The sequence below is a fragment of the Homo sapiens genome, chromosome 5 (assembly GCF_000001405.40).
Source record: "Homo sapiens chromosome 5, GRCh38.p14 Primary Assembly".
NCBI classification, from domain to species: domain Eukaryota; kingdom Metazoa; phylum Chordata; class Mammalia; order Primates; family Hominidae; genus Homo; species Homo sapiens.
In genome coordinates this window covers 81,948,601-81,976,066 of record NC_000005.10, presented here as the reverse complement: position 1 = coordinate 81,976,066, position 27,466 = coordinate 81,948,601, and the positions used below count along the sequence as shown (strand labels likewise).

The following is a 27,466-nucleotide window of genomic DNA, read 5'->3' as shown; positions in this document are numbered from 1 at the left end:
ATCACGCCACTGCACTCCAGCCTGGGCGACAGAGTGAGACTCCATCTCAAAAAAAAAAAAAGATAAAATAAATAAATAAATAAATAACTCTACAACATTCACAGTATATTTTCAGTATAACTCACCCTAATCACATCTTTCTATTCAAGCTTCATATTTTTATGATCTTGATTCTCTTTATTTTGTATGTTATTATATATTATATAGTTTAAGCTACCTCAAATACTTTTGGAACAAAATTGAGTTTAAATTTAAAACTCTAAGCTACAAAAGTACAATAAAAAACAAAAAAGAAAAAGAAAACTAGATAGTAAGATGGGAAGAAAAAAATATTACACTGAGCCCCCAAATCATCCTGAGAGGTCTGAGACACTTTTTTTTTTTGAGAGGGGGGTCTCACTATGTCACCCAGGTTGGAGGGCAGTGATACCATCTCAGCTGACTGCAACCTCCACCTGCCAGGCTCAAGCAATCCTCCCGCCTCAGCCTCTTGAGTAGCTGGGACCACATGTGTGCACCACCATGCACAGCTAATTTTTTGTATTTTTTGTAGAGACAGGGTTTTGCAATGTTGCCAAGGCTGGTCTCAAACTCCTCAGCTCAGGCAATTTGCCTGCCTCAGCCTCCCAAAGTGCTGAATCACAGGCATGAACCACTGTACCCAGCCTTGGTTTAAGAGACTTTCAAAAAGAAGTATAATACAGTCTTTGCCTTCAATAGTTTGTAACCAAATATTTTTTTATTTTTCAGAATACACATTCTTCTCAAAGTAATCAAATTTTTAAGTAAAGATTCACATTGAAAAGAACATCAGAGAATAATGGATAACAAAAAACAGTGATAAATTGTACAACCACTGTTTAAAGAATTAGTATGGATTAAAATAATTAAAATTGCATATATTACTATGTATTAAGAACTAGTAACAAATCCTCAGAGCAACTTTTTGAGGTAAATTACTAGGATTTTCTTTATTTTATAGATAAGGAAATTGAGACAGAGAGGGTAACTTGTCCAAGGTAACACAGCTGTTAAGTGTAGTAATTTGACCTAAGGAAGTCTGGAACCAGAGCCTGGGCCCTACAGTAGTTAGATTTCAGTTAATCCTTGAATTATAGGAGGATATAGAAAGAAAGAAATAGAAGGGATGGGGCAGTGGCAGTGAACCTTGGAACAGATTGAAATGAGGTAGACCAGTAAAGAACCTGAATGGAGAGTATAGATTGAGGGATATTGAGAATCTGGGGACAGGGTGCAGGAAGTTTACAGTCTTAAAACTCAAAGGAAGCTTGGAGACATAGCTCTCGCCTTTAGTCCTCACTACTCAGGAGGCTGAGGCAGGAGGGCTGCTTGAGCCAGGAGTCACGGCTGTGTAGTGCCTTCTAATTGTGCCTCTAAATAGCCACTGCACTCCAGCCTGGGCAACTTAGAGACCCCACTTCTTAAAAAACCAAAAGAAGAAACCAAAAAACCCAAAGGAGATTCCATTTAAAACAATTGGCAATAGGAAACCAGTGTAGGTTCTTGAGCTCAGAAGAGATGATAAAAAGGTTTTCTCAGAAAGATGTTACATGACAGTGATATGAAATAACCCTAGCTTCAAAGCTACACTCCTATTACTAAGCCCTCTTCCTGGATCCTATAAAACTATGTGATCAGGTAAGCACATTAGAGAAGTCTTGTCTCTGCAGTTTTCAGCAACCATTCCCTAATTAAGATTCCTTCAGGTACAGCTTATTCTCCTATTCTCCATTCCCCAACTTTCTAATTGCTTTATTATACTCAGGCTGCTTGTCCCCTGAAAACATTTGTTTTCAATAGATAATCACCAAATGATCTCCATGGCTTTTTTTTTCTTAAGGTTCCCTGATTATATTTATGATTCAAACACAACCTCCTGGGTCCCAAACACATCTCTAGGTTTCAAAGATAATCAAATCAAGCCCATCTTAAGAAATCTTCTGTAAGCTTTACTCTCCTTGTTTTTCCTAAAGGGCTGCTTTACCTTTCTCAGAAATGTATTAGGCATCAGGAACTACTGTCGACATGTAGTTTGTCACAAAACATTATACATAACTTGAATGGCCCACCATGTACCAAAATCTCAGTTAACCTTATCCTAAATAAAACAGGAGACAAGGGAAATAATCTTTTAACACTCCACATTCAAATGTATGCAATTTAGAACTACTATTTCCACTAATTTCTTCAATTTAAAATATCAATAACAATTTTTAAACTCTGCAATTTGCAAGACTTTAATTTTAATTTCTCAATACTCAGGATTTATTTTTTGGTCAAAGTTCTGTAACATTTCCTCTGGTCACTGTTTAACCTTTCTGAAGCAATGAGAAAGGATTCTACTTGGAGTCCTAAGATGTATTTGAGTACCACACAGGGCCTATGTCCTTCCATCCTGAGAAGCATAAACTTGTTTTTGCCACTAAAGAATAGAGACCATTGTCCAATAACAAAAGTTATAAATATGACTCAAAATGAACCTGTGACAAAGATTTATTAAACTCACAATGGAACAAGCTGAATGGCTTAGTGTGCTCAAAAGCATTTCAGGAACTGAGCATAAACACTGAAGAAAGGATGGTAAGTTTGATAGGTTAGACAGAAAAATGGTTAATATTGGCCGGGCGCGGTGGCTGACGCCTGTGATCCCAGTACTTTGGGAGGCCGAGGCAGGCGGATCACAAAATCAGGAGTTCCGGACCAGCCTGGCCAATATGGTGAAACCCCGTCTCTACTAAACTTACAAAAATTAGCTGAGCGTGGTGGCGGGCACCTGTAGTCCCAGCAACTCGGGAGGCTGAGGCAGGAGAATTGCTTTAACCCGAGAGGCAGAGGTTGCAGTGAGCCGAGATCGTGCCACTGCACTCCAGCCTGGGCGACAGAGCAAGACTCTGTCTCAAAAAAAAGAAAAGAAAAATGGCTAATATCCTACAAGGCACTAAAACTACAACCTTTAGGAGTACTGTATTTTTTTCTCTCCCACTCAGAAATAATTTGCATCTCCATTAATGAAAAAGATGTTAACTACAAAGCCTAGGCCCTAATCAATATCATCATGCCAAACAAAATATAGTCCCCTAGACATCTAAATCATCTTCAGGTGGGCCTGTTAGGCTCCATTTTGACTCTGAAAAAAACATGCTGTCCTTTTGCCTTATTTCCAATACTTTTGTAATTTTTACCGCCACTAAAAGTTTCTATAAATCAGTCAACTATTCCTTTATCATTCTCCGGTCCTCCCCGCCAATTCTTGATTTTATAGGTTTTTTGGGAGGTTTAAAAAAAAAAGAAAGACCTGTTGGCTCTAAATATCAAGTTATTCCTCCTGATACTTAATCTGAAACTTCAAATTAAGTTGGACTCAGCCACTGGAAGCCCCAGTAATTTAATACTGTTTCAACCAAAGATTTGCTATCAGTATGTGGATTTTAAACACAAAGTAGTTACTACCCACTTCGAGGGTGCTTTGGGTACTGGGCCAGGTGTGCTGGTGACACCGTGTGCGCGACGGGGACCGGGTCCCCGAGGAGGGAGTGTCCTCGCCCTTCCCCGCTCGCGGCGGCCAGCACAGGCCTGCAGTTACCGGCGGGGACCCGCTTCCCCGGCCTTTTGTTCAGGACTGGGCTGTTTCCCGCCTACCCGCGCGTGCCCTTCCTCCCTGTCCTAGGAGTGGGGCAAGGACCGTGTGGGAAGCAGAGCCGGGAGGAGACAACCGGCAAGGGCTGTGGGGAATACTCACCCCTCTCCGCTCGGCCCCTGACCCCGCAGCCCAGCCCGGCGAGGGCGGGGCGACGGGGCCAGGGGGAGGAGAGCTGGGGAGAGGGACCCAGCGCCCTGCGAGGCCACTGCCGCGCCGGTGACCCTACGGAACTGAATGATGGGACTGCGGGGGCCTCGAGGGCGGAGGAAGAGCCGAGCCAGCGCGCCCCGAGGCCAACCAGAAGTGGCCGTGGCCTCCTTCAGTCAGGTCCGCGGCCTCCTTCAGTCAGGTCCGCCACGGCCGAGTCGGAGCGTGCGCACTGCGCCTTCCCGCGCCGTGGGGGCCGCCTAGCGCAGGCCGGTGACGTGATCGGCCGCGCGCTCTGGGCAGGGCGGGGCTGAGACCCAGGCCGGGACTGGGAGCGGGTGGAGAGGAGGGAAGCGAGACCTCCCCGCCGCCCGCGACCACCCCCGCCAAGGCCCCGCCCCTCGCCTGGCGGGCAGCTCTCCCCCGCCAACCCCCACCTCCAACCCAACGCAGGCGGTGCCCTCCGCGGAGCACAAAGGCGGCTCGTTGACGGGGGAGCGGGTTACTAGCATCCCCCTAAGAGGTTGGGGAACCATGCCAGCATGCTTACGCTACAAAAAGTCCTGTAAACACCACAATTAAGCACAAGCACGGCTACCCCTTGAAAACTTACGGATGGAGGGAGAAGTTAGGAATTCGAATATTGACAATAGTACCATCTGTGGCACATATCCCAGAGGAGAAAAAAAAAAAACTAGCAGCAAAATTAAATTGGGGCGAAACGATGGGGATAAAGACTAGAAAAAATGTAGGAGTAACAGGGGTAATCGAACTGAAATAGCAGACATCTGAAAGAAAACTAGCATCTGCTCCTTCTAACAACAGAGTTAAATTTGTTGGAAATGAAAGGAGAAAATGCAGGCGAAGAAGTGAAAGGAAAACCTGCCTTCAAACTACATGACATAGTTTTTTGATCTTGTACTACAGTTGTGTAAGATGTCACCATTGGAGGAAACTAGGTGATAGGTACACGGGACTCTAGGTGCTGTAGTATTTTTGCAATTTCCTGTGTCTATAATTATTTCCAAATAATAAGTGTTTTTAAAAGGAGAGAATACTGATCAGTGGCGACCAGGGCAAAGGGCTGGAGGAAGGGGGTGACTGAAAAGGAGCTTGAGAGCTTCTATACCGTGATTGTGTTGGTGACTAAACCACTGTTTGACAAAACCCATAAGAGGTATAAATTTTACTGCATGTGAAATAGTTTAAAACTCAAAATGATGCGACTAATAAAAATGAACTTACACTAACATTTTTTAGCAACTATGGATATAAATTAATTGGTAGCTGCCAATTTAGATTATCCATTTAATTTTTTTAAAAGCACAAGGCAGTGTGTTCTGAATGAGAGCTTAAGTAGACCAGGTGTCTCCATCAACTTTAAGTATTTACCTTAAAAACGTATTTCACAGATGAAAACAAGAATGCGGCTGGGCGCAGTGGCTCACGCCTGTAATCCCAGCACTTTGGGAGCCCGAGGTAGGAGGATCGCTTTAGCCCAGGAGTTCAAGACCAGCTATGGGCAAGGCAGTGAGACCTCATCTCTACAAAAATTTTTCAAAATAACAATAAATTTTTAAAAAAAGAATGCATTGCTTTACATTGTACTCCATATTTTAGAAACACAGTGCACCAACCACCATGTTAATTTAAAAAAAATTTTTTTTGCACTGGAGGTGTTTTAAAGTTTCATAATTCACATGCCAAAAACAAAGAAACTAAAAGAAATAACTCAGTTAACCTCCATGTACTTCCTCTCATCATATCCCTCATGGCAAAGAATGATATTGGCCTGTTTATGTGTTTACCCTACAACACTATAAACTGCTTTAAGGCTACGGTCTGTCATCATAGCATTTCAAGGTTCAAGCAGGGCTCCTGTAGCTCTCCTCTCTGATCGCTGAGGTTCACCGAAAAATCTACTCACAAAGGACAGAGTAATTGGAGGAAATGCATGCAAGTTTATTTAGCATATATACATGAGAACCTTCAGAATGAAGACCCAAAGATACAGGGGAAATTGTAATGTTCATTTGTACATCCAACAAAGTATGGACAGCCATGTAGAAATATGATTGGACAAAAGGGTATGCTCTAATGCTAATAGCCTGAGTGGGGAAACCCAGCAAGGCCTGTCTGTCTAGATTCTTCTTGGACTCTCTGGGCATGCATTCCTTCCTTCTGGGTGTAGGGCGGGACCCTCTCTGCAATGAGGGTCTTAGGACCTACAGTCAAAAAAGGTAGATCAGATAATTTCTTTATGGCCAGTTTTTACAAAGAAAGGCGGGAGAAAATTAAAGTAATATTTCCAGGATTTATGACTGGCTTTGGGGAAAAGAGGTTCTAGTTTCTATGGCCTGCCTAGTTTCTATGGCTAGTGTCAGGGGAGAATGGGACCAAGAGACAGGAAGGCAGGAGAAGGTCAGAGAAAAACTTTTGCTTCTGAGGCTGCTTCTGAGAGTTTCATTGTGGGGTATTATTTTCTAGTCCCAATATTCCTAACTAGTAGTAAGTATTCTTTGAATAAAACAAGGAATTGATCACAAAATTTATTGAACGCCTATTATATTCCAGAAGATTTATATGTACATAGTTAATCTCATAACTTCATGACATACCCATTTTATAATATCTTAATTATTAAATTCTTTTAATACTTATTTTATTAGATTTCTCTGTTTCATTTGGACATGTTGCTCACTTCTAAAAAGTCTTGCTTCCTTTCACTTACGTAAAACCCAGTCCCCTGATTCTCCTTCCAGCTCTGTGGCCATTCTTTTTTTTAAAGACAAAGTCTCCCGCTCTTTCACCCAGGCTGGAATGCAATGGCCTGGTCATAACTTACTGTAACCTGGAATTCCTGGCCTCAAGCAATCCTCCCACCTCAGCCTCCCAAAGTGCTGGGATTACAGATGGGATTACAGATGCGGCCATTCTTTTTTCTCATTGTTTTAGGCTTTTGTTTGTCCATTATACTTTAATGCTCATGTTTCACACAGAGTCTTCTAAAACTTGAAACTTCAGCTTTTTTGTTTTTTGTTTTAGTTTTCTGATACTCATGTAAATTTTTTTTAATTCAAAACAGGGTTATACAAACTGCATTACATTCAAAGTCATTTTCCTTTAACCAATAAACACTTTTATTACCAAAAATTACAAAGCAGTATAAATGTGTCTTTCAAAATATAATTACAGGATTTATTTTAAAATATAATTCATAATATCCTTTCAATAGTATGGTCCTATAAAGGGATACAAATTTAAAGTTCCATGGTAAATGTCTTATTTTCTCAATTTTGTCAGTTCTTATTACTTGCATGCATATATCCTTTCTGCTCATATCCCATAGGTCACATCTATATTCAAGGAAGGAAGAAAATGTAGCATCTAGCCATGGGCTCAGTCAAACCTTGACAGGGTGGGATTGTTTTATTATTAAAAGAAAGAAGAGAAGAATAGATACTAGGGAACAAAAGCTATCTCTACTGCAGCTTATAGTAGGCAGATCTCTTCCACCACCCTCCAGGAGGTTCTTAGGAAAAGATAAATTATATAAAAGAGTTAGAGGAGGTAATCTGATTGGATGGCAGAGATAAGAAACTTGTCTTGAAGCTGTGTGTGCATAGCACTTACTTAAAAGTGTGAGAGAAAAAAACACTAGTAGGCAAAACTATAGAGACAGTAAAAGATCAGTAGTTGCAAGAGTTTGGGGGAAGGGAGGCAAAGAGGGAAGAGATGAATACATGGAGAATAGGGCATTTTTTAGGACAGTGAAACTATGATATATGATACTGAAATAGTGGATATATGACATTATGCATTTGTCAGAACTCATATTGCAAAGACAAGGAACAAGGCTAGAATCTGGTAACCCAGAAGGATATGCTATAGACATGCAGTTTTTCTACATCCCCAAAAGTAAAAGAACATAGGGCCCTCTCAACTAATTCCAATGGGGGTAAAAAAAAGCACCTGGATAATAATAGACCACTGCCAGAATGATCCTTGCAGAACATTGGGTTCCCCTGATAAATTTAAAATACAGTGTATAGTTCCCAACTATCCTCAAACGCTTGAAAGATTAAAAAGTCCAACCATGAAGGTTGCACACCACAAGGCGTGGTGGCTCACTCCTGTAATCCCAGCACTTTTGGAGGCCCAGGCAGGTGGATCACTTGAGGCCAGGAGTTCGAGACCAGCCTGGCCAATATTGTGAAACCCCCATCTCTACTAAAAATACAAAAATTATTTGGGCGTGGTGGTGCATGCCTATAATCCCAGCTACTTGGGAGGCTGAGACATGAGAATCGCTTAAACGTGGGGATGGTGGCAGAGAGTAGGGTAGGGGTGGGGGCAGAGGTTGCAGTGAGCCAAGATGGCACCACTGCACTCCAGCTTGGGCAACAAAGCAAGACTCCGTCTCCAAAAAAAAAAGAAGGAAAAACTGGAGACAAAGCAAATACCAAAATTCACTACATGAAATACTCCAACTTATTCCGACTCTTACTCAGATTGCTCAAATTGATCATTTCTGGAAATGTGTTCTAACCTTCATAGTACAAACTAGACTCTCAAGAATAAGATCCTAAAAACTCAAGCACAGGCAGAAGCTATAATCCCATTACTATCCTTTTTTTTTTTTTTTTTGAGACGGAGTCTCGCTCTGTCGCCCAGGCTGGGGTGCAGTGGCATGATCTCGGCTCACTGCAACCTTCTTCGCCTCCAGGGTTCAAGCAATTCTCTGGCCTCAGCCCCCTGAGTAGCTGGGATTATAGGCGCGTGCCACCACACCTGGCTAATTATTGTATTTTTAGTAGAGACGGGGTTTCACCATGTCAGTCAGGCTGGTCTTGAACTCCTGACCTCATGATCTGCCTGCCTCGGCCTCCCAAAGTGCTGGGATTACAGGCGTGAGCCACTGCGCTAGCCTCATTGCCACGCATTCTTAGCTATAGGACATCACTGCTGTAATTCTACGTTATCTTTATCCTTTGCTAACATCAAAACCTTTACAAATAATTCTCAGTAACCTTGGGACTTTAAATGTTTTATTTTATTTTATTTTATTTTATTTTATTTTATTTTATTTTATTTTTTTGACATGGAGTCTCGCTCTGTCACCCAGGCTGGACTGCAGTGACACCATCTGGGCTCACTGCAACCTCTGTCTCCCAGGTTCCAGTGATTCTCATGCCTCAGCCTCCCGAGTAGCTGGAATTACAGGTGCACGCCACCATGCCCAGCTAATTTTTTTTATTTTTAGCAGAGAGGGGGTTTCACCATGTTGAACAGGCTGATCTTGAACTCCTGACCTCAAGAGATCCAACCGCCTTGGCCTCCCAAAGTGCTGGGGTTATAGGCGTGAGCCACCACACCTGGCCTTTTTAATGTTTCTAAGGCAGCACAGATAATTAAATAACTATAGATTGTCATTAAAATATGACAATTCTCCATTGCTGTTTCCATACAAATATTTGAATCCAAAGTCTCAAGTCACAGTCTCCAATTTTATATACTGTAATTATATGTATACTATTAAAAATCAAATAAGGCCGGGCGCAGTGGCTCACGCCTGTAATCCCAGCACTTTGGGAGGCCGAGTAGGGTGGATCACAAGGTCAGGAGATCGAGACCGTCCTGGCTAACATGGTGAAACCCCGTCTCTACTAAAAATACAAAAAATTAGCCAGGCATGGTGGCGGGCCCCTGTAGTCCCAGCTACTCGGGAGGCTGAGGCAGAAGAATGGCATGAACCCGGGAGGCGGAGCATGCCGTGAGCCAAGATCGTGCCACTGTACTCCAGCCTGGGCAACAGAGCGAGACTCTGTCTCAAAAAAAAAAAAAAATCAAATAAAACGTATAATTTTCAAACATGTTTAATTACATAAAAATAACCAAATTCAGAAACAAAAATGTTTCTAAATTAGAATCATCAACTAAGTCAAGCTCTAAGCTAAGGAATGTGATCAATATAGAATATTAGTAGTATACAATTTTTATTTTCATATTGATCACAAAATGTATATCTAGTAGAATACAATTTTTATTTTCATATTGATCACAAAATGTATATCTAGTAGAATACAATTTTTATTTTCATATTGATCACAAAATGTATATCTACTCCTAGATATTTACTCAAGAGAAATAAATATATATATCCACAAAAATACTTGTATGTGATTATTCATAGAAGCATTATTCATAAGAGCCAAAGCTGAAAGCAATCTGAACGTCCTTCCAGATGAATGGGAAGCAAATTGTGGTACAGTATGTTCATACAATGGAAGACTACTCAGCAGTAAGAAGAAACTAATTACTGCTAAATACAACCATGAATTAATCTCAAAACATCATGCTGAGCAAAGAAGCCAGACATATACATACTGTATGATACCATTTTCTAGAACTGGCAAAGCTAATCTAGAGTGGCTAATCTAGAATAAATGAGTAGTTGCTAAGGGCTGAGGATTGGAGACAGGATTAACTACACAGGGTATGAGGTAACATTTTGGGATAATGAAAATATTTTGATTGTGGCCATGGTTACATGTTGTCTTAGTCTATTCGGGCTGCTATAACAAAATACCATAAACTGGGTGACTTATAAACAGCAGAAATGTATGTCTCACAGATATGAAAGCTGGAAAGTCCAAGATCAGGGCACTAGCAGACTTGGTGTCTAGTGAGGACCTGGTTCTGAGTTTGTTGAAAAGCCCTGTCTCCTAGTACCATCACCTTGGGGATTAAGATCTCATTTTGGGGAAAGACATTCAGACCATGGTAGCATATGGGGTGTATGCATTTATCAAAATACATTGAACTGTAGACTTAATTTGGGAGCATTTTATTGTATATAAATTATACCTCAAAAATTATTAAAAATATAAAAATAAAACAAAACCCCAAAAACATATATGTACTTCATATGTATTAAAGGCAACAATAAAGTGTAAGGGAGAGCTTGAATCACCCTGCTGTTACTGTTATCAGTTCTCTCAACTTCACTGTGATATAGACCCTTTTTTTTGGCAGTATCATATCACTATTTTAAATTAATAGACTTTACTTTGTAGAAAATGTTTATGTTTCCAGAAAATTGAGCAGATATTATGGATAATTACTATCTATCTATCTCTCTATCTGCAACCGACTCATAGTTTTACCTTTTATTAACGTCTTGCATTAGTGTGGTACATTTGTTACAATTGAGCTAAGTTGTAGGTTATTGGTAAATATGTAAATTATATCCTGTCTGGTAGTGATTTGAATTGGCTGCCCCACCCCTCCAGTGGAAAAACCAGTTCTATCCCATTTTGCCTGGTTCATATGAGTAAAATGAATTTTTAAACATGTTCATTGGTATATCTGTATGAAAGTCATGATTTCACCCTTTTCTGAAATTATCTTTTAATAATGGCCTGGCAATTTACACCCCTGTGGCTTTTCAGTCCTAATCCTCACTGAAGTGTCCAGGACCACTGAAGGGAAGGGCAGTCCAGGGTCTTTGTAGGCACAGGCGTGGGAAAATGAGCCAAATCTTGACCAAAGGGACCTTGAATGAAGAATGGTGAAAGATGGTGAAAGGCTCAAGAAGAAGTAAATGATAAAGTAGATCAATAGCAAACTGTGATAGAAGAATGTATAACACATTTGGACAATGCAGAAAAGAAGAGTCCAACAGGATATTTGCAGCACGCTGTATCCATAATTCACTGATTTGGAAAGCAGTTGGTGGAAAATAATCTAGACAGTAAAAGAACTACAGAATCTCATAAATTCTTCAGAAGTTTGGTTCAAACACACTGTGCATTCTGGGCCCCAGGATAGACTCCCTGGTACCATGCATCAAGATATTCTTTCGTACTGGACTTTGCACTCACCATCCAGCAAAGAAAATACCACAGGGTTAATGAGATAAGATCAATGCACATGCTCCAGGGTCCATCTTTTGTTAGTAAGGGCTTGAATGTCCTTGTTTAATAATGATCTGTTTCCTTAAATGTTGTGTGGCTATGTTTACTAATCAGGAATTAATTATGATTATAGGATTCAACTGCATGTTGATATTAGTGTGTTATAATGATATTTTGCATAAAGACAAGTTTAGTCTGCAAACCTGGGAGCCTCTGGGCAGATTTAATTCAGGAAGCTGCTCTAGATTCAGATCAAATCAGGAGTTGCCTCCTGAGGCAATAACAATAATATGCACTTGCCCAGCCCCTTCATCTGCATTATCTCATTAGTGAGACAAGAGACATACTGTGGAAAGGGCACCAATTTGAAGTCAAGAAGTCATAGGGCAAGCTTTAGTCCTGTCGCTTCCATGGTATGTAAATGTTGGGCAGTCACTTACTTTCTCTGAACCTCAGGATCTATATTTCTATGAAGTGGAATCGGTAATAATCCCAGCTTTGCAGGGCTGTGGAAACCAAAATATATACATTTTTTAATTTAAGGGATTGATACCTAGAGACAATGAAATCATACCAACAATCGTTACTGTGATTGTGTAATCTGTATTTTCTAACAAGGAAAGATGACCAGGTACAAAACAGAGTGTTAAAGAATTACCTCATTGATTGTCTTGTAGAAAAACAGTAAAAGGTTATAATCAGAAATTAATCATGGTGACCTCTAGGTAGGAAGATCTTGGGTGATTTTTTTTTTTTTTTTTTTTTTAAGACAGAGTCTCGCTCTGTTGCCCAGGCTACAGTGCAGTGGAAGGATCTTAACTCACTGCAACCTCCACCTCCCAGGTTCAGGCAATTCTCATCCCTCAGTCTCCCAAGCAGCTGGGATTAGAGGTGCCCACCAACATGCCTGGCTAATTTTATGTATTTTTAATAGAGATGGGGTTTTACCATGTTGGCCAGGCTGGTCTCGAACTTCTAACTTCAGGTGATCATGGGTGATTTTTTTTTTTTCTTCATATGTTTTTGGTATTTGAGTTAAGCAAAATAATGTATTATCACTGATATGATTTTATAATAAAAATTAAAATTAAAAATAAAGAAATAAAATACTAAAAATAAAAATTTTATAATAAAAATGTTAACTTCAATTTAAAAATTAAAATTTATATCTGTGGTTTTAAATGACAACAAATTATTTATAATCTTTACTATGTTTGGACAGAAAGAAAGGATTGTCATCTGGGTATAAATTGTATCCTATTGTTCTGTAAAGGGAGTAACAATGGAGGAAAAGAGGTCAACTTCAAAGGGAAAAAAGCCAAAATGTAATGCCAGCAAAGGATGATAATGGGACATTCCAGATGGGCAGTGTCTACCTTCTGCAGTCCAGAGTTGGCCATGGAGAATGCCCCTTTGTGGTTCAGTCTTCCTCATATGAGGGGCTGATCGTATAAATATGAAGGGATAGATAGTAGAAAGATGGAAAGAAACATCCTTCTATATATATATACAAAGCAGGCATACAATGAGACGTGAATAACGACAGGGAAGAAAGAGGATACCATGAAAACTGTCCAATCCCATTAAAATTACATGCTGTCAGAATGCTGAATTTGGAGTGAGGCTGCCCACAGTTAGGAGTATTGCTACATTTTTTATGTAATGTTTAACTGTTTAATACTATGATGGTTTTAATTCTTTATGCTGTTTGATGGGTGTGATAAAGAGGAGGTAACATGCATCACCTCACAGACTTATCTCTGATATTGGTTCTTAATATACATAATACACATGCTGTGTGTAAAAGTCAGATGTTCAGTCTGGTAAATGGGGAAATGCTGGGATTTCACTTGGCTAATTGGTCATAAGGTCCTCATGAAGATGGTCCAGAGAGTGATGTAACAGCCAATAGGTGAAGTATAGCACTTGAAAAGACACAAATAAAGAACTGCAATGCCTTCCCAGATCCTTATGAATTCCATTAGTCTCATTAAGGCCATTCAGACTGAGGTTATCGGCTTGTGTAATGCTCGGCCTAGAGATTCCACAAATCTGAAGCTGCCTAAGGCCCCAGGCGGGAAGACTGGGGCATAGGCAGCTGGACAGTGCTAGAGGACATCTGCCTGGAATAAGGGCAACAGTCAAGATGTTATGAAAACACTTTGCCTGTGTGCTGCACCCATGTCACATCCCTGTATCCTTTCAATAAATGCCTTTGCTAAATGGAATGTGGGTATCTCATTTCTTCAGCTTTCAGAAATATAATTAAAACAATCTGGATTGGAATATCCAAAAGGAGATATCCAATAGACAGTTGTTTAGTGTATAAGTCCAGAGCTCATGGAAGAGGTCAAGCTGAAAATATATACAGTGAAGTTATCTCCTGTGCTTAGTTAACTTATATTAACTCTACTATATGCATTTGGCAAAAAACAAAAACATATTTTTCTTATAACATGGCCGCTAAATGCAAGCCAACAACTTCATCTGGCGTTTAACTAAAGAAACAACCTTCTGTTCCAATAGCGGAGGAAAACTGGCTGTGTAGGATTTCTTGATTGATAGTATATACATTCAAAATCGTGTATACAGTATTTTAGAGGAAATTTTAAAGATTTTCAAAGATAATTTTAACTCGGTTTTATTTTTGCCTTTCACGCTGACTTTAGATTCTAACCCCCTCAGAACAAGTCAGTCCCTGTATTTGGGTGTCATTGATTTACAGGTGATTGCAGTTCTGGTCACAGAAGAGGCTATTCTGGGGAGAGTACATAGAGTGAGAGAAGAAGAGACCTGGGGGTGAAATCTTAGGGAACATCAATATTTGAAAAGATGCTCAAATTCTAAAGATTCTTTTAGAATTAGGAGGGGCATGAGGAAAGACTAGTATCATAAGAAACCAAGAAGAGAATTTTCCCGAGAGTGGTTAACTGTCAAAAATAAAGCAAAGAAAATCAAGGAAGATAAGTGCTAAGAAGCAACCATTGGCTTTGGAAATTAAGAAGACACTGACGACCTTAGCAAAAGCAGTTTGGGTGTTATGATGGCGGATGCCTCTCTAAAAGAATAAGTAGCCCTGGCACAGTGGCTCACACCTGTAATCCCAGGGCTTTGGGGGGTCAAGGTGGGCAGATCACGAGGTAAGGAGTTCGAGACCATCCTGGCCAATATGGTGAAACCCCGTCTCTACTTAAAATACAAAAATTTGCCGGGTGTGGTGGCAGGTGCCTGTAATCCCAACTACTCGGGAGGCTGAGGCAGGAGAATAGCTTGAACCTGGCAGGTGGAGGTTGCAGTGAGCCAAGATCGCGCCACTGCACTCCAGCCTGGCTGACAGAGCAAGACTCCATCTCAAAAAATAAAATAAAATAAAAACAACAAAATGTTCAGAGTGGCAAGGAAGTGGAGACTTCAAGTTTTCTATGAAGAGAAGGAAAAAGGGTAGCAGGTAGGGAAGAATAAGAGCCAAGGAGTGTTGGGGTGGGGGGTACTTTTGTATTTCACATTTTAAATGGGTGTGACTTTGATCCAGTTTGTAGGCCAAGCACAAGAACCAGAAGAAAAGAGGAGATAATTGAGACAACACAGCCCCTGAAGAGACACAGGGTGAGTCCCAAGTACTTAGTTGTATTAACTGGAAGAAGGGCAAAGGAGAAAGATGTACTGGAAATAGATGCTTTGTGTTTGAGAGGAAAGAAATGCCAGAGAGAAAGGATTGAGGAAACTTCATTTCTGATAGCTTCCACTTTCTCTGTAACATGGGAAGTAAGCACAGCCATTTTCCTTTTTTTTTTTTTTTTTTTTTTTGAGACTGAGTCTTACTCTGTCGCCCAGGCTGGAGTGCAGTGGCGCAGTCTCGGCTCACTGCAACTTCTGCCTCCCAGGTTCAAGCAGTTCTCCTGCCTCAGCCTCCCAAGTAGCTGGGACTACCGGGGCCCGCCATCACGCCTGGCTAATTTTTTTGTATTTTAGTAGAGATGGGGTTTCATCTTGTTGCCCAGGCTGGTCGCGAACTCCTGAGGTCAGGCAATCCGCCCGCCTTGGCCTCCGAAAGTGCTGGGATTACAGGCGTGAGCCACCGCGCCTGGCCAAGCACAGCCATTTTCTAAAAGTGGGGAAGAGGGTGATGGGTGCACCAAAATGTCAGAAATCCACTACGGAATTTATCCTTGTAACCAAACACCACCTGTTCTTCCAAAACCTATTGAAATTAAAAAAATAAAATAAAAGTGAGGAGAGGGGCTTAGAAAACAAGTAAACTTTTAAAATAGATTTGAAAGAGGAGAAGCTGAGAACAGATATATAGGATTTGAGAGTATAGCTAAGACTGGATTCCTCTGTTTGTGGAGGTCCTAATTCCTAAATTTTATGTGACTGTTTTTCCCAGTACCACTCATTCTGGTTGGGAGAAAGAGTATAAAAGGGAGATGAGGCTGGGCGTGGTGGCTCACGCCTGTAATCCCAGCGCTTTGGGAGGCCGAAGTGGGCAGATTGCCTGAGCTCAGGAGTTTGAGACCAGCTTGACCAAAATGGTGAAACCCCGTCTATACTAAAAATATATAAATTAGCTGGGCATTGTGGCAGGCGCCTGTAATCCCAGCTACTTGGGAGGCTGAGGCAGGAGAATCCTTTGAACTCGGGAGGCAGAGTTTGCAGTGAGCCAAGATCGCGCCACTGCACTCCAGCCTGGCGACAGAGTGAGACTCCATCTCAAAAAAAAAGAAAAGAAAAAAGAAATAGAGAGTGATAACTAGCAGAATAGGAGGACATGTTTGGAGAGGAGGAGACTGATGTTGAAATTACAGATATATCAGTTTGTTCCAGTTGGGCACAAAGCTCAGAGATCAATCCAAGCTGAGTTGCCGATATAGAGAGGCAGTAAAGGCCCTAACCATTGAATAGGCACAGAACTATGAGAGTAAAGTAGTGGAAGGGTCATTCATGGAGGCCTTAGGGTGAGGTTGAAAGACAATGAGCCAAGAACCAAAAAGTCTAAATGAATGTAGAGGATTAAGAAAAAGATGGTGATGAGGAAGGTAGAAAATAATACCAAGGGCGACATGCAGTGGCTCACACCTGTAATCCCAGCACTTTGGAACCCTGAGTTTCACTCGCGTCCATGTGAAGAGACCACCAAACAGGCTTTGTGTGAGCAATAAAGCTGTTTATTTCACCTGAGTGCAGGTGGGCTGAGTCCGAAAAGAGACTCAGCAAAGGGAGATAGGGGTGGGGCCGTTTTATAGGATTTGGGTAGGTAAAGGAAAATTACAGTCAAAGGGGGGTTGTTCTCTGGTGGGCAGAGCGGGGGTCACAAGGTGCTCAGTAGGGGAGCTTTTGAGCCGGGATGAGCCAGGAGAAGGAATTTCACAAGACAGTGTCATCAGTTAAGGCAGGAACAGGACATTTTCACTTCTTTTGTGGTGGAATGTCATCAGTTAAGGCAGGAACCAGCCATCTGGATGTGTACGTGCAGGTCACGGGGGATATGATGGCTTAGCTTGGGCTCAGAGGCCTGACATTCCTGTCTTCTTATATTAATAAGAAAAATAAAACAAAATAGTGGTAAAGTGTTGGGATGGTGAAAATTTTTGGGGGTGGTATGGAGAGATAATGGGCGATGTTTCTCAGGGCTGCTTCGAGCAGGATTAGGGGCGGCGTGGGAACCTAGAGTGGGAGAGATTAAGCTGAAGGAAGATTTTGTGGTAAGATGTGATATTGTGGGACTGTTAGAAGAAACATTTGTCATTTAGAATTATGGGTGATGGCCTGGATACGGTTTTGTATGAATTGAAAAACTAAACGGAATAAGAGAAGGAGAAAAACAGGTATTAAAGGTCTAAGAATTGGGAGGACCTGGGACATCTAATTAGAGTGCCTAAGGAGATTCAACATAGTCCTGTCAGCAAAGATTATTTACTTACTTCAAGAGTTAAGAGTGGCAGTTTGGGGATAGCACCAGGAGATATCAGCTGTGATGGCTTGGAGAAACAGTGTAAACCGGCAGTGTAAACAAGAGCAGGGCATGTATGAGTAGTTGAAAACGGTGAATAGGAGTATGACTAGACAGAAGATAGTAAGGATGACAAGTTTTTTTGGGGCACAGTCTAAGTTAGTCTGGTGTCTGGAATGAGACTGGGGCCTAATAAAAAGGAGCATCTATACAGGAGCTCAAATGGGCTGTACACTGTAGCATTCTGAGGACAGGTCTGACTCTGAGAAGGGAAAGTGGTAAAAGTATTGTCCAGTCCTTTTTAAGTTGGTGGCTAAGCTTGGTGAGGTGTGTTTTTAAAAGACCTTTAGTCCGTTCTACTTTTCCTGAAGACGGAGGACCATAAGGGATATAAAGGTTTCACTGAATACTAAGAGCCTGAAAAGCTGCTTGGCTGATTTGACTAATAAAGGCTGGTCTGTTATCAGACTCTATAGAGGTGGGAAGGCTAAACTGAGGAATTATGTCAGACAGAAGGGAAGAAATGACTGCGGTGGCCTTCTCAGACCCTGTAGGAAAGGACTGTACCTATCCAGTGAAAGTGTCTACCTAGAGTAAGAGGTATTTTAGTTATCTGACTTGGGGCATGTTGAGTAAAGCTAATTTGCCAGTCCTGGGTGGGGGCAAATCCTCAAGCTTGACATGTAGGGAAGGGAGGGGGCCTGAATAATCCCTGAGGAGTAGTAGAATAGCAGATGGAACACTGAGAAGTTATTTCCTTAAGGATAGATTTCCACGATGGAAAGAAAATGAGAGGTTCTAAGAGGTGGGCTAGTGGCTTGGACTATAGCGTAGCCTGCCTTTGCTGGTGTGTGGCGATTAGCCCTGGTGGAACTGCCATCAATAAATCAAGCATGATCAGGGTGAGGAACAGGAAAGAAGGAAATATGGGGAAATGGGGTGAATGTCAGGTGGATCAGAGAGATACAGTCATAGGGGTCAGGTGTGGTATCAGAGAGATACAGTCATAGGGGTCAGGTGTGGTATCAGGAATAATGTGGGAGGCCGGATTGAAGTCCAGGCCAGGAACAATGGTAATTGTGGGACTTAACGAAGAGTGAGTTCAGCTGAAGGAGCCAGGGAGCAGAAAGTATATGCATCAGGTATGAGGAAGAAAATAGATTTTGGAAGTTATGAGAAATATAGAGAGTAAGTTGAGCATAGTTTGTGATTTTGAGGGCCTCTGAAAGTATTAGGGCAGCAGCAGCCGCTGCTCGGAGACATGGTGGCCAACCTAAAACAGTAAGGTCAAGTTGTTTGGACAAAAAGGCTACAGGACGCGATCCTGGTCCTTGTATAAGAATTCTGACTGTACAGCCCTGCACTTTGGCTGTGTGTAATGAAAAGGGTTGGGATGAATCAGGGAGAGCTAGAGTGGGGGCAGTCTCTAAAGCTGTCTTCAAGGAACGGAAAGAGGAGTGGGGAAAGTATTTAGGATCTACGGGGTCAGCTAGGTTTCCTTTTGTGAGTTTATATAATGGTTTTGTTAGGATGGTGAAACCAGGTATCCAAAGGCGAAAGTATCTAACTATGCCTAGGAAGGAAAGCAGTTGTTGTTTTGTAGAAGGGGTTGGGGTTTGAGAGATCAGTCGGACAAGATCGACAGGGAGAGCACGTGTGTTTTTATGAAGAATTATGCCGAGGTAGGTAACGGATGGAGAAGAAATTTGAGCTTTGGAGGGGGATACTTGAGAAAGAACTTGGCTGAAGTAATGAGGGCTGTCCTTGAAATCTTGTGGCAGCACAGCCCAGGTAAGCTGCTGAGCCTGATGGGTGTCAGGGTCAGTCCAAGTGAAAGTGAAGAGAGGCTGGGATGACAGGTGCAAAGGAATAGTAAAGAAAGCATGTTTGAGATCCAGAACAGAATAATGGATTGTGGAGGGAGGTATTGAGGATAGGAGAGTATGTGGGTTTGGCACCATGGGGTGGATAGGCAAAACAATTTGGTTGATAAGGTGCAGATCCTAAACTAACCTGCCAGTCTTGTCTGGTTTTAGGACAGGTAAAATGGGGGAATTGTAAGGAGAGTTTATAGGCTTTAAAAGGCCATGCTGTAGCAGGCGAGTGGTAACAGGCTTTAATCCTTTCAAAGCATGCTGTGGGATGGGATATTGGCATTGAGCAGGGTAAGGGTGATTAGGTTTTAATGAGATGGTAAGGGGTGCATGATCGGTCACCAAGGAGGGAGTAGAGGTTTCTTATACTTGTGGGTTAAGGTGGGGGAATACAAGAGGAGGACGCAAAGGAGGCTTTGGATTGGGAAGAAGGGCAGCAATGAGATGTAGCTGTAATCCAGGAATAGTCAGGGAAGCAGATAATTTAGTTAAAGTGTCTCGGCCTGATAAGGGAATGGGGCAGGTGGGGATAACTAAAAAGGAGTACTTATAATAGTATATGTAAGTTGGCACCAGAGTTGGGGAGTTTTAAGAGGTTTAGAAGCCTGGCCGTCAATACGCACAACAGTTACGGAAGCAAAGGAAACAGGCCCTTGAAAATAAGGTAATGTGGAGTGAGTAGCCTCCGCATTGATTAAGAAGGGGACGGACTTACCCTCCACTGTGAGAGTTACCCGAAGCTCGGCGTGCGTGATGGTCTAGAGGGCTTCCGAGGTGATCGGGCAGCATCAGTCTTCAGCCGCTAAGCCAAGAAGATCTGGGAAGGAGTCAGAGAGCTTTGGGCCAGAGTTCCAGGGGCTCTGGGAGTGGCTGCCAGGTAAGTTGGACAGTCTGATTTCCAGTGGGGTCCCGCACAGATGGGACGTGGCTTAGGAGGAATCCTGGGCTGCAGGCATTCCTTGGCCTGGTGGCCAGATTTCTGGCACTTGTAGCAAGCTCCTGGGGGAGGAGGTTCTGGAGGAACGCCTGGCTGCTGCGGTTCAGGCGTTTGGAAGTTCTTGTGTGCTGGAGATGTGGCTGGGGTTTGTCTCACAGTGGAGGCAAGGAATTGCAACTTTTTTCTATTATTGTACACCTTGAAGGCAAGGTTAATTAAATCCTGTTGTGGGGTTTGAGGGCCGGAATTTAATTTTTGGAGTTTTATTTAATGTCAGGAGCAGATTGGGTAATAAAATGTATTTTCAGAATAAGACGACCTTTTGACCTTTTAGGGTCTAGGGCTGTAAAGCGTCTCAGGGTTGCTGTCGAACGAGCCATGAACTGGGCTGGGTTTTTTATATTTGATGAAAAAGAGTCTAAACGCTAACTGATTTGGGAGAGGTCGGATAAAGAAAAAGGAGCATTAACCTTGACTATGCCTTTAGCTCCAGCCACCTTTTTAAGAGGAAATTGCTGGGCAGGTGGGGGAGGGCTAGTCACGGAACGAAACTGTAGGCCGGACCGGATGTGAGGAGGGGAGGTGATAAAAGGATTATAGAGTGTGGGAGCAGAGGCTGAGGAAGAATTGAGACCTAGCTCGGCCTGGTGAGGAGGGGAGAGGTCAGATAGGAAGATTAGAAAGACTCAGCAACGCTTGGGGTTGGGGCTGAGGGGACAGGTGAGAGGGAAAGAAGGAAGATTTTGGATGAGTTGCAGTGGGAACAGAGACTAGAGAGGGACCCATGTGTAAAAGAATGCCTGGACGTCAGGCACCTCAGACCATTTGCCCATTTTACGACAAGAATTATTTAGATCTTGTAGGATGGAAAAATTGAAAGTGCCGTTTTCCGGCTATTTGGAACTACTGTCGAGTTTGTATTGGGGTCAAGCAGTATTGAAGAAGAAAATAAGACGCTTAGATTTTAGGTCAGGTGAGAGTTGAAGAAGTTTTAAGTTCTTAAGAACACAGGCTAAGGGAGAAGAAGGAGGAATGGAAGGTGGAAGCTTGCCCATAGTGAAGGAGGCAAGCCCAGAGAAAAGAGTAGAGACACGGAGAAGGGGTGGGAGGGTTCTTGCCCTCCAGAAAAGCAGAGAAGGGGTCGGGGCGCAGAGATACGAGGTTGGGGTGGGGAAATAAGGGATCGGGGTGCAGAGATATAAGAGGTTGGGGTGTGGAAATAAGGGATCGGAGCGCAGAGATATAAGAGGTTGTGGCGTGGAAATAAGGGATTGGGGTGCAGAGATATAAGAGGTCGGGGAGTGGAAATAAGGGATTGGGGCACACAGATACGAGGTTGGAGTACTTGCCCCTTCCCCAGAAAAGCGGGACTTGCCGCTAAGGGTGAAGGAGAAGGGGTTGGGGGTTTCTTGTCCCCCAGAAAGGCGGAGAAGGGGTAGAGACACGGAGAGAAGGGGTTGGAGTACTTGCCCCTCCCCCAGAAAAGCGGGACTTGCCGCTAAGGGTGAAGGACCAAGGCAGGCATCCCTGCGTGGTCTGACACCTCTGAAACCTGGGTGAATAATCAGAGAGGCGTCCCTGCCTTCCCGAGTCCGTGACCAGCGCTGGGGTTTTGGGTCCACGGATAAAACATGTCTCCTTTGTCTCTACTAGAAAATGAAAGGAATTGAAATTAAGAGAAGGGAGAGATTGAAGTGTGGCACCAAGATTGAAAGGAGAAAGAGGTTGAGAGATAGGGAGATTGGAGAAGAGAGTAAAAAGAGGCCGCTTACCGGATTTGAAATTGGTGAGATGTTTCTTGGGCTGGTCCATCTGAGGACTTGAGGTCGTAGGTGGACCTTTCTCATGGATCAAAGAACAGGAGGACAGGGGATTGATCTCCCAAGGGAGGTCCCCTGATCCGAGTCATGGCACCAAATTTCACTCACATCCCTGTGAAGAGACCACCAAACAGGCTTTGTGTGAGCAATAAAGCTGTTTATTTCACCTGGGTGCAGGTGGGCTGAGTCCAAAAAGAGTCAGCAAAGGGAGATAGGGGTGGGGCCGTTTTATAGGATTTGGGTAGGTAAAGGAAAATTACAGTCAAAGGGGGGTTGTTCTTTGGTGGGCAGAGTGGGGGTCACAAGGTGCTCAGTAGGGGAGCTTTTGAGCCAGGATGAGCCAGGAGAAGGAATTTCACAAGACAATGTCATCAGTTAAGGCAGGAACCGGCCATCTGGATGTGTACGTGCAGGTCACAGGGGATATGATGGCTTAGCTTGGGCTCAGAGGCCTGACACTGAGGCTGGCGGATCACTTGAGGTCAGGAGATCTAGACCAGTCTGGCCAACATAGCAAAACCCCATCTACTAAAAATACAAAAATTAGCAGGGTGTGGTGGTGGGCACCTGTAATCCCAGCTACCTGGGAGGCTGAGGCAGGAGAATCACTTGAATCTGGGAGGCGGAGGTGGCAGTGAGCTGAGATCATGCCACGGCACTCCAGCCTGGATGACAGAGCAAGACTCCATCTCAAAATAATAATAATAATAATAATAATACCAATGGGTTGGTATAGAGCTCAACAGAAGAAAAATTTTACATAATAGGCAAACAAAATGGTCTGGAATCGGCACATTGGCACTCAGAGAATATCAGCAATACCTCTAGGCTATAAGGAAGGGAGTCAGGCTAGAGTAAACTGGGGATCTCAAGGAGACCTGTTTCAAATAGGTGAGTTCATGTCATACTGGCTCTCTGTGCAAAATGGAAGTGTTAAGCCAATTAATATTCATTCATTTGTTTCAAAAACACATCAAGAATATAACATATGCCAGGCACTGTGCTAAGTGCTAGAGATACAGCAATGAACAAGACAAGCACTGCTCCTGCCTTATTGGAGGTTAAGTCTGTACACAAGACCCTCCACAAACAAGCAGAAAAAAATTTTGAGTCTGAACATGTGATGAGGCTGTTTAGATCTGGTTGTTGGAGGAATGCTAAAGGCTAAATCCACCAAAGCTTTCCCAAGAGTAAAGATATGCATACAATCTGGCAGGCATTGATATTGATAATGTTGATAATGTTGATAAGCCTTCTCAGGTCTTTAAAAAAGTCACTGATAGAGTTGTTTACTAAAAAGCAAACACTAGTATATTGTATCTTTAGGGATTATTTACATTACAACAAGGCACAGAATCTATTGATATGGAAATCAGTTAAGAACGCTTTAATAGCAAAACAACCACAGAACTGTATAATGTTCTTCCAAAACAGAATACCTAAGAACCACATGAAAGTTAAATTTAAATGTTATATGTATGCAAGATGGAAAATTTCCTAGACGCTTTTAGAAACACTATTACAGATTGCTATTCTGAGTACCAAATGATAAGAGCAGTGAAAAGAACTACAGATGAATTATAGGTAGATAATATGTGACAACTGCACGTAAATTACATGTAAGATCATCTTTCTTTTGACACACCAAAAGCTTTACCCAATAAGAGTATTTTCAATTACAATTAGTAAATTTCAGACAGAAACATTCAACTATTTAGATCCACTTTGAAAAAAGTTGTCTTATATCGCCGTGTCTACAATCAGTGTATTAATAAATTTCTATTTTAAAAAGCACAATATACCAGGAAAATAAAATGTAAGCAATGTCAAGTAATCAGAGATAACACTTTCCATGAATAAATGTAACAAAATAAGGTATAAAATTGAAAACAAAAGAAAATCAAAACTTTAAAAAATGGATTATAATGTGCTGTAGAAGATGGGAGAGAATAAGAAGGAAGAAGAAAACATGAAGCAACAAAAACTTATCACAAGATACCGTATTCCTAGAGTACAAGAATGTTCAAGCCTCAAATCCTGAAGCCAACAGTCCCTTTTAGCCTTCTTAGCACATCCTCACAACCAGAGGCTTCAACATAAGCTTTTAGGGCCCAGTAAAGCCTTTGGGAGGCTTGCCACCTTGAATTTCACTGTGGATAAGGCTCAGTGAACAAATACCAGGCTGAAAAACAAGCTGACCTTCCCTTAGGAAGAAGGCTTTGGCTTAGGATAGATTTAAAGATTTCAGTCCTGTGTTTGCTTCCCCAAACTCCACTTGATTGTGCCAGAGGCCCACTACCTTCCTGGTGCTTTGCAAATTTTGTATTGGAACCATTTATCTTAGAGAATATATACCTCCCAGAAAATATTAATATGTCATAAAATAAGTTTTCTTCTGTCTTACATGAAATAAGATCAAGGATCTAGTCCCAGAGAAAACATACTTCAGCAGGGTGTAAATAATGATAGCCATGTAGTCATTCAACAACTGCTTACTCAGTAACTACTAAGTGCAAAGCACTTTGAGCAAAGCAGCATAAAGATAAAATTCTCGGTCACAAGCAATAGAAACTAACTGGCTAATTTTAGCAGAAAAGGAATTTATTGGCAGAATAACAAGTAGCTCATAGAATCAACAGGAAGACTGAAGAACAAGGCTAAAAACAAAAAAAAAAAAGGCAGGAGCCAAGGGCAGTCAGACAGCAGGAACCACAAGGTCACATCCAAGTTTGGTTAGGATGCTGCTTCTGCTGGCCCTGCCACAGGTAAACATACTGCCAGACAATGTGCTGGAACCACTGCCACTGGGAATATATTTTAACCATTCTTTCCCATTTGCGTGATTCATTTTAGAATTAAGTCCCCAGTCTGATTGGCCAAGCCTAGATTTCTTGCTCATGAAATCCAGCTGCTGGGGTTGGGAAGAAGGACTATTTGGCAAATTTGACTTCTGGAGAGAGAGTTAGGGTCCTGCTACCTACCAAGACTCACAAAATGTGGAATTGCTCTCAAAGTAGGAAACAAGTTTGAATGCTCAACGGTCAGAGAAACTTTTTTTTTTTTTTTTGAGACGGAGTTTCGTTCTTGTCGCCCAGGCAGAGTGCTATGCCAGGATCTTGGCTCACTGCAACCTCCCTCTCCCAAGTTCAAATGATTCTCCTGCCTCAGCCTCCCAAGTAGCTGGGACTACAGGCACACGCCACCATGCCCAGCTAATTTTTGTATTTTTAGTAGAGATGGGGTTTCACCATGTCAGCAAGGCTGGTCTCGAACTCCTGACCGTAGGTGATCCACTCGCCTTGGCCTCCCAAAGTGCTGGGATTACAGGCATAAGCCACCGCACCCGGCCTGGCCAGAGAAATTTTAAATGTTCACTTCAATCTGTAGTTTGATCACAAAACACATACTCTTTTCCCTGTACTTCCCCAAAGAGATGCTACGGCAATCGCTGCTGCAAGTTGTCAGCACACCATATTTTGAATTTTATAAAGTCCTCCTAACCTACCCATTCCAGGTTTCCTTACCTTCAGCTGATGAAAGTTATTTACACAATGGGGCAATCCTCCTGCTGTATGAGATTGTAGGCATCTTCAGCCACTGGGCCTGGTTAAATAAGCAGGTATGCCAAGGAATCTCCTAGTTCATACCCTTCCCTGCCTCCATTATATATAGCATTCGTATTTTCCCTTGATAATAAATATCAGTCATCCCAGCCAAGACTGGAATCTCTTTCTGGGCCCATTTGCCCCAGATGAAAAGAGCCAGAATGACCTGGTGGAAACCTAAACTTCTTATTCTAGTACAACCATTTTTGTGTCCTCTGGAAGCTTCACTCATCTTCTAAACCACAAATAGCCAGAGTTGGGAGAACAGAAGCCAATATTATATGAATGGGCATTTGGAGTAATTGTGAGAATCTTCATGCCCATTTTCAATCCTTGTTTACTTGACTCACTTACAGGAAAAACATCATCATATATGGTTGCTGGCTCAGACCATACTGCAGAATCATAATTCAGCCTTACGAGGTCTTTTTCTCCCAGCTGGAGTTGTAACTAAAAATAGGCTGTTCATATTCTATAAGTAAACTTATTGCTTCTGTTGATGAGATGTGTCATAAGACAAAGAATTCCTGTGGGCATTAGCACGCTGCCTTACTTTTTTCCCTCTGTAATGTGAGTTCCTTCGTCAGTAGCAAATGAGAATCTATGACAATTTATGAGACATTCAATAAGCCCACAGTGATGGGTGAGAAGGGGCATGGTGGGCAAGAAAGACATATTCAGGATAGGTATTTATTCGAAATAGGAAATCAATGCTTCTTCCATGATAAAGGTCCCATGTAGTCATCTTGCTAGCAGGCGTTCACCTTCACATTTATGGTGCCACATCAGGGGGTTTAGGATTGAAAGCTACAATTGACAGACGAGACACTCATTATGGCCACATAGGTCAGCCTTAGAGAGAGGAATTCTCACCAAGAGAATTGGGCCAAAGTATCACTTCCATCTCTGCCACAAATAGATTATTTACCTATCACTGAGGTAATTGGGGAAGATTATCTGTTATCCATAGAATAAGTCATCTTACCTACCTTCCGCAGTAGGGATCTTTTGATGACCATTCATGTGGGGCACAAATAATGACATTATCTGAGTCCATTCTAAGAATCCATCCATAACCTTTTTCTCAAGGCTTGTTTCCAATCAGGCAAGTTCAATCTCTCTCTCTCTCTCTTTCTCTCTCTCTCTCAATCTCTCTCTCTGTCTAGTGATGGGGTCTCACTAACTGTATTGCCCAGGCTGGTCTCAAACTCCTGGCCTCAAGTGATCCTCCCGCCTCAGCTTCCCACGTAGCTGGGATTATAGGCCACTGCACCTAGCCAAACAAATTTTTGACCAAAGAACATAATTTGAATCAATGCAGATCTTTACGTCAACTCATGAGTCCATATAGGTAGGCCAAGGGTGGGTCAGAAGTGTTGTGGAAATTTCACCATGGGAATTTAAGCGACCTATTCAATATACTTGCTTATACCTTCACCACTTAATTCTGGAGTGCTGCTGAGGACTTTGTGGCTTGGCATATCAGGTAAACTGTTTTGCAATAAGCAGCTAAAGTCATGTGATCAGCTAGTTTCCTAATGATCAGGCTTTCTGCT

At 42.2% G+C, this 27,466-nt stretch overlaps 1 protein-coding gene across 7 annotated transcripts in view, besides 4 other annotated features; it reads right to left on the bottom strand.

Annotated features, from left to right (window-relative positions):
• The window catches only part of ATG10 (autophagy related 10), a 284,111-nt gene extending 280,067 nt beyond the window's left edge, over positions 1-4,044 (bottom strand). For 4 of the 7 annotated variants that reach the window (NM_001131028.2, XM_017009944.2, NM_031482.5 and 1 more), the window contains exon 1: positions 3,761-4,044. The gene's annotated coding sequence lies outside the window, so the exon portion shown is untranslated. The other 3 variants (XM_047417800.1, XM_047417803.1, XM_047417798.1) reach the window with 2 other exon arrangements.
• Positions 3,398-3,953: an enhancer, noted in NCBI's record as "NANOG-H3K27ac-H3K4me1 hESC enhancer chr5:81267933-81268488 (GRCh37/hg19 assembly coordinates)". NCBI's record gives its function as "activates a minimal SCP1, AML or CMV promoter by ChIP-STARR-seq in primed H9 embryonic stem cells {active_cell/tissue: H9 hESC(primed)}" and the evidence as "EXISTENCE:reporter gene assay evidence [ECO:0000049][PMID:30033119]".
• Positions 3,644-3,883: a silencer, noted in NCBI's record as "silent region_16149". NCBI's record gives its function as "represses an Ori minimal core promoter by ATAC-STARR-seq in GM12878 lymphoblastoid cells {active_cell/tissue: GM12878}" and the evidence as "EXISTENCE:reporter gene assay evidence [ECO:0000049][PMID:35858748]".
• Positions 3,954-4,511: an enhancer, noted in NCBI's record as "NANOG-H3K27ac-H3K4me1 hESC enhancer chr5:81267375-81267932 (GRCh37/hg19 assembly coordinates)". NCBI's record gives its function as "activates a minimal SCP1, AML or CMV promoter by ChIP-STARR-seq in primed H9 embryonic stem cells {active_cell/tissue: H9 hESC(primed)}" and the evidence as "EXISTENCE:reporter gene assay evidence [ECO:0000049][PMID:30033119]".
• Positions 4,054-4,383: a silencer, noted in NCBI's record as "silent region_16148". NCBI's record gives its function as "represses an Ori minimal core promoter by ATAC-STARR-seq in GM12878 lymphoblastoid cells {active_cell/tissue: GM12878}" and the evidence as "EXISTENCE:reporter gene assay evidence [ECO:0000049][PMID:35858748]".